Source organism: Homo sapiens, chromosome 7, assembly GCF_000001405.40.
Source record: "Homo sapiens chromosome 7, GRCh38.p14 Primary Assembly".
NCBI lineage: Eukaryota > Metazoa > Chordata > Mammalia > Primates > Hominidae > Homo > Homo sapiens.
In genome coordinates, this window is record NC_000007.14 from 66,595,136 (window position 1) to 66,608,275 (window position 13,140).

The 13,140-nt window shown below is 49.0% G+C and overlaps 1 pseudogene; it reads right to left on the reverse strand.

Moving 5' to 3' along the window:
- Nucleotides 11,568-12,022, reverse strand: RPL35P5 (ribosomal protein L35 pseudogene 5; annotated as a pseudogene).

The window sequence follows — 13,140 nt, forward strand, 5'->3', positions numbered from 1 at the left end:
CCAGCCATGCCTTTCCTCATTTTGGTCACCCACTGACATCTAAGTTGTTCACTAAATCCAACAGTGTGTGGGCACTTGGCAGATAGTGGGTCTCCATGCTGGACATCCATGACAACGGCCCATTTGATTTTTTTGTTTGTTTTGTTTTGAGACAAAGTCTCACTCTGTTGCCCAGGCTAGAGTGCAGTGGCACGATCTCGGCTCACTGCAACCTCCACCCCCAGGTTCAAGCGATTCTCCTGCCTCAGTCTCCAAGGAGCTGGGATTACAGGTACACACCATCATGCCCGGCTAACAATGGCCCATTTGATATTCTCACCTTCTGGCTTCTAACTGCCACCTCCCCTCATAGAGTTAGGTAGAGTAGATCCCATCCAAAATCTAGTCTTATGGAATCCCCATCTGATGACCATCATCTTACTTTCTCAACACCCTTGTGTCATAAGCTTGCTTTCAGACCCTATCAGGCTTTGGACCTGTACACCTTTCCCAGTTGCAGAGTCCAGAAACTGGCCCCTGTCTTATTTCTTCTTTACTTCATCCAGGTCCCATCATTCCAACCACATTCCCGCAGGTTAGCCCCATCCTTTGATGCTCACTGCTTGAGCACTGCCTCTACTCGTCATCTTGCCAGGACCCCCCAGCTATCTGGCTTTCTCGCTCTCTCATGTTGATCGCTGGGCCTTGTGAGACAAATGAAAAGCTGATCTGATCTGAGTTACTACAACTCATCAGAGCTGGTTTTCTCGCTTCATCCAGGTCCTCAGTGCTGCTTGGAAATTATTGTTTGTCCTCATGCAATTTCGTCTCTGTTTCTCCCACAATGGCTATCCCAAAATGTCGCCACTTTGTTCCAGCCCCTTTCTTGACCTATTTCTTTATAGTTATCTTTATTTGCTGATCCCTCACTTCTCTAATTAAAGGTATAAATTATTCAAATTACTCTGTGATTTCTATCTCCTAATACAAATGACCCTAAATACAAGACAGGCCAGATGACCCAAGGAGACAATGATGGTGTAGACTTTTTTTTTGAGACTGGGTCTCACTCTGTTTCCCAGGCTGGTGTGCAGTGGCCTGATTACAACTCACTGCAACCTTGACCTCCTGGGCACAGGCAATCCTTCCACCTCAGCCTCCTAAGTAGCTGGGACTACAGGCATGTACCACCACACCCAGCCAATTTTTTTTTTTTTTTTTTGAGGCAGAGTTTCATTCTTGTTGCCTAGGCTGGAATGCAATGGCATGACCTCAGCTCACCACAACCTCCGTCTCCCAGGTTCAAGCAATTCTCCTGCCTCAGCCTCCTTAGTAGCTGGGAATACAGGCATGCACCACTACGACTGGCTAATTTTGCATTTTTAGTAGAGACAGGGTTTCTCCATGTTGGTCAGGCTGGTCTTGAACTCTCGACCTCAGGTGATCCACCTGCCTCGGCCTCCCAAAGTGCTGGGATTACAGGCATGAGCCACTGTGCCCAGCCCAATTTTTTTTTTTTAATATTTCTTGAAGAGACAGGATTTCACCATGTTGTTCAGGCTGGTCTGGAACTCCTGTGCTCAAGCAATCTGCCCACCTCAGCCTTCCAAAGTGCTAGGATTACAGGTGTGAGCCCCTGCACCCAGCCCAATGTGTAAGCTGGTCTTACATGTCAGATACAAGGTTCCAAGAATTCCATGTTATTTATTTTGAATGGGTGACACGTGAATGCACATGGGATGCATTTGGGCAGAGCAGCAGCACCAGAGTTCATCTTCCTCTCTTGGGTGGGACATCAGGAATAGTCCCCGCTGGTGTCCACTTTGGGAAGCTCTGGGATTCAGCTGGCCTCTGCTGCACATGGGTACCTAACTGCAACTTGCAGTGGCTCTTCTCAGTCAGGCATAAGAGCTGGAATTTCTGTTAATCTCTCAATATTTGCATATGTAATGAAGTGTCTGCTGAAGCCAAAATATTTGAAAAAGAATGCCCCCCACCCCTTATTGTGTGGGTCAAAATCTCAGGTTCACCTTGGCTGCTCCAGGCTGCTGTAGATAGGCATCCCTAAAGCGGTTCTTTCAAACGGTGCCTGTAGACCTTGAAACTGTTGATTATATTGCAACTGTCACACCTACAAGGATTGCTGGCCTCAGCCAACCCCTCATCATGGAGCTGCAGAAACAAGGGAGAGGCTGCCCCTGCTTATGGCCCTCTGTATAGCCTTACTGAGGGGTTCAAGTGTGTCTTGGGTAAGGCAGGATAGGAGAAAAGATATACAGGGTTTTCAGCTATTGGAATGCTGGATCCTTGGCCAGGGATCTGGTAAACCCATATCCTAAAAAGACAGAATGATTAGGTAAAAAACAGGGTCACAAATGGCCAGTACTGCTTATAAACCCCAGAAATCCTGGGACACTGTGAGAGCCTTCCACTCTGGAAACATCACTTGATATTGGTTGGACTGTCTGGAAATTCTACCTTTGGATCTCAGTCCACAAATCCAGGTTGTCCCAGGGGTATTGTTGCCATAAAACGGTCAGAATTGCCATGCAAACAGAGAATATGTTGACAGGTGTTCAAAATCAAGTCGTAAACCCTATCTCAGTGGAATCCTCTAGCCCATGGAAGTGGTGGAATATTCCTGCAGGTAACTGGACAGGGGATTTCTTCTCATTATTCTGCCTCTCTGGACCAATGGGAGTTTCCAAATATAGCTGCCTTTGAAGAATAAAATTAGATAATTGGGTGGAATATCCCCTGAATATGTCTGGAAGCAATTACATTCTGCCTTGACTCCTGGGAGTGGTGAGTGAATAATACCACCCTCATTTCAACTAATAGCGATGTGGTCAGCTCATTAGTGAAGTTCATATTTTTGTTAGGAAACTCGTGGTGAACTCAGTTTCCAGGTAACATATTTATTTATTTATTTATTTATTTTACTTTTTATTTTAGAGACGGGGTCTTGCTCTGTCACTGAGGCTGGACTGCAGTGGTGCAATCATGGATCACTGCAACCTCAACCTCATGGGCTCAAGTGAACCTCCCACTTCAGGCTCCCAAGTAGCTGGGACTGCAGGTGCACACCACCCTGCCTGTCTTATGTTTTTGAATTTTTTTTTTTTGAGACTGAGTCTCATTTCGTTGCCCAGGCTGGAGTGCAGTGGCGTGATCTCGGCTCACTGCAACCTCCGCCACTTGGGTTCAAGCAATTCTCTGCCTCAGCCTCCTGAATAGCTGAGATTGCAGGTGCCCGCCACCACGCCCGGCTAATTTTTTTGTATTTTTAGTAGAGATGGGGTTTCACCATCTTGTCCAGGTTGATATTGAACTCCTGACCTCATGATCCACCTGCCTTGGCCTCCCAAAGTCCTGGGATTACAGGCGTGAGCCACCGCGCCTGGCCTGAATTTTGTTTTTTTTTAGACACAGGATCTTGCTGTGTCACCCAGGCTGGTCCTGGACTCTTGGCCTCAGGCAATCCTCTTGACTCTGCCTCTCAAAGTGCTATAGGATTACAGGTGTGAACCACCATGCCTGGCCAGGCAAAAATAATTAAATTCTTCCTTTCTGGTGCAGAAGGTGAAGCTAGTGTGTCTGCTCAGTGGGATCCTGCAGGCATCCTCTGCAGCTGTTGTGGAGGTAGATACAGAGCTTCCAGGATGTGTATCCACCTTACCTTAACTTAGGTGGATATAGAGCCTGCAGGATCCTCTGCTGCTGCTGCTGCTGCTGCTGCTGCTGCTGAGGAGACTGAAAATGCTCTCCAGTTCCTAGCAGGCCACATGTAAAAGCTGACTTGGAAAGCAAGGGACATCAGTGCTGGGAGCACCTACCTGCCTGAGAATAAGAAGCAGACAGTCCTGGGTATGGCATCACTGTCATGGTTGGCTAACAGGTACCAGATAAGGCATGGCCAGAAGTGGCCAACCGGCATTTTTTTTTTTTTTTTTTCCTGAGTCTCACTCTGTCACCCAGGCTGGAGTGCAGTGGTGTGATCTCCGCTCACTGCAAGCTCCACCTCCTGGGTTCACGCCATTCTCCTGCCTCAACCTCTCGAGTAACTGGGACTACAGGCACCTGCCACCATGCCGGGCTAATTTTTCTGTATTTTTAGTACAGACGCGGTTTCACCATATTAGCCAGGATGGTCTCGATCTCTTGACCTCCTGCTCCGCCCACCTCGGCCTCCCAAAGTGCTGGGACTACAGGCGTGAGCCACTGCACCCAGCCATGGCCAACCAGCTTTTAAATGCCAAAGACAGGACAGTTACAAACAGAGGGGAGAGGTGGAGAGGACATGGTGAGAGGGACAGTAAACACCTGCAACGTGTGCACACACGGGTGGGTCCTTGGGGCAGAGTCAGCTGAGGTACAGTTGGTGATGAAGATGCTATGTTGAGAAACTGGATACCCAAGGCATTTATAAAAGTTCATACACATTGTAGGGACTTAAGCCTACTCATGATACCACCCTGACCTCTTTACAAAAATACTGAAGATATAAAGATTTCTTCAACTGGACTCTGAACCTGTAAATTTCTTTTAATGGGGGTCAAGCTCCAAGTTTTGTGTTGCTATGTGATTCTATTTCTTGATTTTAATAATGACTGAGAAAAGTATGGATATCTCCATTCCAAAAATCTACTGGGGCTGGGCCATCTTCCAGGATCATATGATACGGGGAAGAAATGAGGGTCTGTATTACATTAAGATAATCCTGGCCAGGCGCGGTGGCTTATGCCCGTAATCCCAGCACTTTGGGAGGCTGAGGCGAGTGGATCACCTGAGGTTGGGATTTTGAGACCAGCCTGACCAACATGGAGAAACCCCTTCTCTACTAAAAATAAAAAATTAGCCAGGCATGGTGGCGCATGCCTGTAATCCCAGCTACTCGGTAGGCTGAGGCAGGAGAATCGCTGGAACCTGGGAGGTGGAGGTTGTGTTGAGCCAAGATCGCATCATTGCACTCCAACCTGGACAACAAGAGCGAGACTCCATCTCAAAAAAAAAAAAAAAAAAAAAAAAAGATGGCAAAGGCCAGGCCTGGTGGCTCATGCCTGTAATGAGCCAGCACTTTGGGAGGCCGAGGCAGGCAGATCACAACATCATGAGATCGAGACCATCAGGCTAACACAGTGAACCCCCATCTCTACTAAAAATATGAAAAATTAGCCAGGCATGGTGGCGGGCACCTGTAGTCCCAGCTACCCAGGAGGCTGAGGCAGGAGAATCGCTTGAACCAGGAAGGCAGAGGTTGCAGTGAACTGAGATCATGCCAATGCACTCCAGCCTGGGTGACAGAGCGGAACTCTGTGTCAAAAAAAAAAAAAGAGTCCAGAGCGGTGGCTCACGCCTGTAATCTCAGCACTTTGGAGGCCGAGGCGGGCGGAACATGAGGTCAGGAGTTCAAGACCAGCCTGACCAACATGGTGAAACTCCATCTCTACTAAAAATACAAAAATTAGCCAGGCATGGTGGCGGGTGCCTGTAATCCCAGCTACTCAGAAGGCTGAGGCAGGAGAATCGCTTGTACCCAGGAGACGGAGGTTGCAGTGAGCCAATATCGCGCCACTGCACTCTACCCTGGGCAACAGAGAGAGACTGTCTCAAAAAAAAAAAAAAAAAGAAATAAAAGAAATAGGGATAGACATGCCTGAGCCTCGGTAATTTATATTAAAAAAAGAGGTTTAATGGACTCACTGTTCACCATGGCTGGGGAGGTCTCACAATCGTGACGGAAGGCAAAGGAAGACCAAAGGCACATCTTCCATGGTGGCAGGCAAGAAAGCATGTGCAGGGGAACTGCCCTTTTATAAAACCATCGGATCTTTTAGACTTATTCACTATCATGAGAACAGCCTGGGAAAAACCTGCTCCCATGATTCAATTACCTCCTACTGGGTCCCTGCCACAACACGTGGGGATTATGTGAGCTAAAATTCAAGATGAGATTTGGCTGGGGACACAGCCAAACCATATCATTGGTTTTTCCCCAGGTTCCCCCACATAAGCCAGTGGATGCCGATGGATATTTGTGACAAAGGGCACCATTGAGGTCTAGACACTGAATACACTGAGGTCCCAGCTCCTGCTCTACCAGGATACCCTCTCCCACCTGCTAGGAGCTCCCCTCAACCATCTCCCTGTTCAGGAGGTACCCATATATTCAAGAGAGAGTTTTCATAACTTTCTTTCTTTCTTTTTTTTTTTTTTTTTTGAGACAGAGTCTTGCTCTGTCACCCTGGCTGGAGTGCACTGTCATGGTCTCTGCTCACTGCAACCTCCACCTCCAAGGTTCAAGCCATTCTCATGCCTTATCCTCCTCAGTAGCTGGGATTACAGTGCACGCCACCACACCCGGCTAATTTTTTTTTTTTTTTTTTTTTTGAGACGGAGTCTCGCTCTGTTGCCCAGGCTGGACTGCGGACTGCAGTGGCGCAATCTCGGCTCACTGCAAGCTCCGCTTCCCGGGTTCACGCCATTCTCCTGCCTCGGCCTCCCGAGTAGCTGGGACTACAGGCGCCCGCCACCTTGCCCGGCTAATTTTTTGTATTTTTAGTAGAGACGGGGTTTCACCTTGTTAGCCAGGATGGTCTCGATCTCCTGACCTCATGATCCACCCGCCTCAGCCTCCCAAAGTGCTGGGATTACAGGCGTGAGCCACTGCGCCAGGCCTAATTTTTCGTATTTTTAGTAGAGATGGGTTTTTGCCATGTTGGCCAGGCTGGTCTCAAACTCCTGACCTTGAGTGATCCACCCCAGTTGGCCTCTCAAAGTGCTGGGATTACTGGCATGCGCCATCACACCCAGCCAGTTTTCATGATTTTCTTTACTTCCACTATGGTGGGAGAACTGGCTTCAGAGAAAGCCATCCTGGACTGGTGAGGTGGCCCAACCAGGAACAGGTTTCAATGAGGTGTTTTAGAAACAGTGATGCCTGTGCACCCTGGTGAGAAGGAGCGTGGCATGAACATCAGGAACCAGACTTCACCCTAGAAAGAAGGAGAGGCCACAGGTGGGGGCTGAAGGAGCAGTTCTCACAAGCCATCCTGTGGGCACTGGGGCCACACCATGCACCTTGGTGCACAAGTGTCAATGTGGTTGAGTGGGGTAGAGGACTCAGGGCATTAAAAGCATCAAGGAATCCAGGGAGAGCCACCGCACCCAACTTTACTTTCACCCACAGACTGATGCAGCCCGAGGTCATGTTACTCCACAAGGACCTCAACTATACACACAGAAGCTGTTTGCCAGGCCCTTGCCACAGGCTGTAATCTCAAAATGGGGGCTGTCAAGGCTTGTTAGAATACCTGCGACTCAGAGGAAAAATTTTTCTTTTTTTTTTTTTGAGACAAGGTCTTGCTCTGTCACCCAGGCTGGAGTGCAGTAGTGTGATCATAGCTCACTGCAGCCTCTATCTCCCAGGTTCAAGCCATCCCCCTGCCTCAGACCCCAAGTAGCCAGGACCACAGGTGTACACCACCACACCCAGCTAAGAAAATAATTTAAACATTTTATTGATTGATTGATTGAGACGAAGTCCTGCTCTGTCACCCAGCTTGGCGTGAAGTGGCACGACCTCAGCTCACTGCAACTTCCGTCTTCCTGGTTCAAGTGATTCTCCTGCCTCAGCCTCCGGAGTAGCTGGCATTACAGGCACCCACCACCATGACCAGCTAATTTTTTGTTTGTTTGTTTGTTTTCTTTTTTTGAGACAGAGTCTTGCTCTGTCACCCAGGCTGGAGTGTAGTGGCGCAATCTCGGCTCACTGCAAGCTCTACCTCCTGGGTTCATGCCATTCTCCTGCCTCAGCCTCTTGAGTAGCTGGGACTACAGGCACCTGCCACCACGCCCTACTAATTTTTTGTATTTTCAGTAGAGACGGGGTTTCACCATGTTAGCCAGGATGGTCTCGATCTCCTGACCTCATGATCCACCCGCCTCGGCCTCTCAAAGTGCTGGGATTACAGGCGTAAGCCACGGCGCCCGGCCTAATTTTTGTATTTTTTGTATTTTGCATTTTGCATTTTGTAGAGACGGGGTTTCACCATGTTGGCCAGGCTGGTCTTGAACTCCTTACCTCAGGTAATCAGCCCGCCTTGGCCTCCCAAAGTGCTAGATTACAGGCATGAGCCACTGCACTGGCCTAATTTAAACATTTTAAAATTTTGTTTAAACTTTAAAATAAAATCTCAATTTGGTTTTTAAAAAACTCTGTCTGGGTTGTGATGACTCACATTTGTAACATCAGCACTTTGGGAGGCTGAGGTGGGAGGATCACCCAGGAGTTCAAGACCAGCCTGGACAACATAGGGATACCCAGTATCTCTAAAAAGTAATAATAGCCTGGGCGAGGTGGCTCACACCTGTAATCCCAGCTCTTTGGGAGGCTGAGGGGCGGGGGGATCACAAGGTCAGGGGATCAAGACCATCCTGGCTAACACAGTGAAACCCTGTCTCTATTAAAAACACAAAAAAATTAGCTGGGCCTGGTGGCGGGCACCTGTAGTCCCAGCTACCCAGGAGGCTGAGGCAGGAGAATGGCGTGAACCTGGGAGGCGGAGGTTGCAGCCTCTGCACTCCAGCCTGGGCGACAGAGTGAGACTCCGTCTCAAAAAAAAAAAAAAAAAAAAAGTCATAGTAATACAAAAATTAGCCGGATGTGGTGGCAAGTGCCTGTGATCCCAGCTACTTGGGAGGCTGAGGCAGAAGGATGACTTAAGCCTGGGAGGTCAAGGTTGCAGTGAGCTGAGATTGCACAATTGAACTCCAGTGTGGGCAACAGAGTGAGACCCTGACTCAAAAAAAAAAAAAATAGTGCTTAGTGCCACATGCCAGGAACCACAATGACAACAAGTCAGCAGGTTGTTGAGTCAGGTCCCACCGAGAGCCGGCAAAGAGTCTGACTGTGGGGACCCTGCCCTTTTCCAGAAGGTGGAGGTGCAGAGGAGCTCGTAAGGATCACGGCTTCTCAACCTGGCCCTGAACCCACTCACATCAGCAGCTCTCTGCAAGGCCAACTGGACAGACAGCTGTCACCAATAAATTAAACCTTATTTCTTGCCAGGTGCAGTGGCTCATGCCTGTAATCCCAGCACTTTGGGAGGCCAAAGTGAGAAGATCACTTGAGGCCAGAAGTTCAAGAACAGCCTAGGCAATATAGTAAGACCCTGCCTTTACAGAAAATTAGGTGGGAGTGGTGGCATGTGCCTGTGGTCCCAGTTACTCAAGAGGCTGAGGCAGGATGATTTGTTGAGCTTAGGAGGTTGAGGCTGCAGTGAACTATTGCACCACTGCACTCCAGCCTGGAGGACAAAGCAAGACCTTGTCTCATAAAAAAAACAAAAAAGAAGCAAGCCAGCAGGTCTAATCCAGACTTAAGAGGGTGGTATCAGACAGGCACAGTGGCTCACACCTATGATCCCAGCACTTTCAGAGGCCAAGGTTGGCAGATCACATCACATGAGGTCAGGAGTTCGAGACCAATCTGGACAACATGGTGAAACCCCATCTCTACTAAAAATACAAAAATTAGCTGGATGTGGTGGCACGCACCTGTAATCTCAGCTACTCAGGATGCTGAGGCACGAGAATCGCTTGAATCCGGGAGGTAGAGGTGGCAGTGAGCCGAGATCGCGTCACTGAACTCTAGCCTGGGCGATGAGCTAGACTCAGTCTCAAAAAAAAAAAAAAAAAAGAGAGAAAAGAAAAGTCCCTTCAAATCCAGCCATCTGCACAGTGCCTGAATTCCTCCTATATCCCCAGCAAACTGGCTCTTTATTCTTTTCAGTCTGCACAGTAACATGGTTAGGAAACGTATCCTAATTTTGTTGCAATGCAAAATGTCTACCTGTAACATTCACTATTTCTTGCAGGCACCTATGACCTGTGGAAAGGGTGAAAAGCTCAGAAGATTCTATTGTCTATTTTATTTTATTTATTTATTTTTGAGGCAGGGTCTTTCTCTGTCATCCTGGTTGGAGTGCAGTGGCACAATCATAGCTCACTACAGCCTCAAACTCTTGGGCTTAAGCAGTTCTGCCTCAGCCTCCCAAGTAGCAAGGACTACAGATTTGCGCCACCACAACCCACTATTTTTTTTGTAGAGATGGAGTTCTCTCTATGATAGCCAGTCTGGTCTCAAACTCTTGGCCTAGAGTGATCATCCCACCTTGGCCTCCCAAATGGATGGGATTACAGGCCTGAGCCACCATGCCTGGCCATCTTGTCTCTAAATGCAAGTTAACTGCTTTGATGGAGCAGGCACGGTGTCTCACGCCTGTAATCTCAGCACTTTGGGAGCCTGAGGTGGGCGGATCATGAGGTCAAGAGTTTGACCTTCAAGGTTTAAGCAATTCTCATGCCTCAGCCTCCCGAGTAGCTGGGATTACAGGTGCCTGCCACCATTCCTGGCTAATTTTTAATATTTTTAGTAGAGATAGGCTTTCACCATGTTGGCCATGCTGGTCTCGAACTCTCCATCTCAAGCAATCCACCCGCCTCGGCCTCCTAAAGTGCTGGGATTACAGGCGTGAGCCACCACGCCCAGCCAAGATTCAGCCTAATTTTTTTTTTTTTTTGAGGCAGAGTCTCGCTCTGTCACCCAGGCTGGAGTGCAGTGGCACGATCTCCGTTCACTGCAAGCTCTGCCTCCTGGGTTCATGCCATTCTCCTGCCTCAGCCTCCTGAGTAGCTGGGACTACGGGCTCCTGTCACCACACCCCGCTAATTTTTTGTATTCTTTAGTAGAGACGGGGTTTCACCGTGTTGGCCAGGATGGTCTTGATCTCCTGACCTCGTGATCTGCCCACCTTGGCCTCCCAAAGTGCTGGGATTACAGGCGTCAGCCACCTCATCTGGACTTTTTTTTTTTTTTTTTTTTGAGGCAGAGTCTCACTCTGTTGCCCAGCCGGGAGTGCACTGGCACTATCTCTGCTCACTGCAACCTCTGCCTCCCAGGTTCAAGCGATTCTCCTGCCTTAGCCTCCCAAGTAGCTGGGACTACAGGTGCGCGCCGCCATGCCTGGCCGTATTTTTTTTTTTTTTTTTTTAAGACGGAGTCTCACCCTGTCACCCAGGCTGGAGTGCAGTACCCCGATCTTCACTCACTGCAACCTCTGCCTCCCGGGTTCAAGCAATTCTCCTGCATCAGCCTCCAGAGTAGCTGGGACTACAGGTGCATGCCACCACACCAGCTAATTTTTTTGTATTTTTAGTAGAGACGGGGTTTCACCATGCTGGCCAGGCTAGTGGCAAACTCCTGACCTCATGATCCACTGGCTTCTGCCTCCCAAAGTGCTGGGATTACAGGCGTGAGCCACCACACCCGGCGATTTGGCCTAATTTTTAAAGTAAGCTGGAGCACAGAAAATGTTTCTGCAATTATTAGTCTACTTGGTTTTTTTGTTGTTGTTGTTATTGTTTTTTCAAGAGAGGGTCTCACTCTGTCACCCAAGCTGGAGTGCAGTGGCATGATCATGGCTCACTAAAGCCTCGACCTCTTGGGCTCAAGCGATCTTCCTGCCTCAGCCTTCCAAGAGCTGGGACTACATGCATGCACCACCACGCCCAGATAATTTTTTTTTTCTCAGCCATACGTGCTTTATTGACAACGCGCACCTCAGGCCTTGACCGCTCACTGCCGCAGCAGGTACAGCCGCTCCTTCCGCTGCTGCTTCTTGGTCTTCAGGTTCTCCTCGTGCTTGTTGAGCCGGCGGCGCATGGCGCGTGTCTTCTTAGGCCGCAGGTCCAGGGGCTTGTACTTCTTGCCCTTGTAGAATTTCCTGAGGTTTTCTTTCTGAGTCTGGTTAATAACTGTGAGAACATGGGCAATGGATTTTCGGACGACTAGGATCTTAGGGAGCTTGGAGGCCGCACCGCCTGTCACTTTGGCGACACGCAGCTGGGACAGCTCCACCTTCAGGTCGTCCAGCTGTTTCAGCAGCTCCTCCTTCTTCCCGCGAAGATCTGGAGCCTTGATCTTGGCCATTGCTGCACAGGCCGCTGCCGCCTCCGCCGCTGCCCGCTCCTCGGGAAAGAGCTACTTTTTTTAGTTCTTGTAGAGACGGGTCTCACTATGTTGCCCAGACTGGATTTGAACTCTTGGGCTTGAGAGAGCCTCCCACCTTGGCTTCCCCAAATGCTGGGATTACAGGCGTGAGCCACCACACCTGGCCTCACATATTTTGACGTATAAAACACCAAAGATTTTTTTAAGGAGCTGAACAAACGAGTAATTTTTAAAGAAAAAAGTAGTGGGAGTGTCTAGCACAACCAAAATCAGGAATCAAATTCAGCAGTTAAACATTCCAGGCTGGCCGTGGTGGCTCACAGCTGTAATCTCAACACTTTGGGAGGCTGAGGTGGACGGATCAATTGAGGTCAGGAGTTTGAGACCAGCCCCGTATCTACTAAAAGTACAAAAATTAGGCCGGGTGTGCTGGTTCACGCCTGTAATCCCAGCACTTTGGGAGGCCGAGGGGGGCGGATCACCTGAGGTCAGTAGTTCGAGACCAGCCTGGCCACCATGGTGAAACCCCATCTCTACTAAAAATACAAAAATTAGCTGGGTGTGGTGGCGGGTGCCTGTAATCCCAGCTACTCGGGAGGCTGAGGCAGGGAGAATCACTTCAACCCAGGAGGTGGAGGTTGCAGTGAGCTGAAATCACACCACTGCACTCCAACCTGTGTGACAGAGTGAGACACCATCTCAAAAAAAAAAAAAAAAAAAGGGACAAAAAAATACCCAGGCGTGGTGGCGCATGCCCATAATCCCAGCTACATGGGAGGCTGAGGCAGAAGAATCACTTGAACCAGGGAGGCGGAGGTTGCAGTGAGCCGAGATCACACTACTGCACTCCATTCTGTAAGACAGACTAAGACTCTGTCTAAAAAAATAAAATAAAATAAAATAAAATTTGCAATTCCGAGTTTGGTAAGAACAGCGAACTGTGGGCCGGGCGCGGTGGCTCACGTCTGTAATCCCAGCATTTTGGGAGGCCAAGGCGGGTGGATCACGAGGTCAGGAGTTCAAGACCAGCCTGGCCAACATGGTGAAACCCCGTTTCTACTAAAAATACAAAAATTAGCTGGGCGTGGTGGTGCGTGCCTGTAATTCCCAGCTACTCAGGGGACTGAGGCAGGAGAATAGCTTGAACA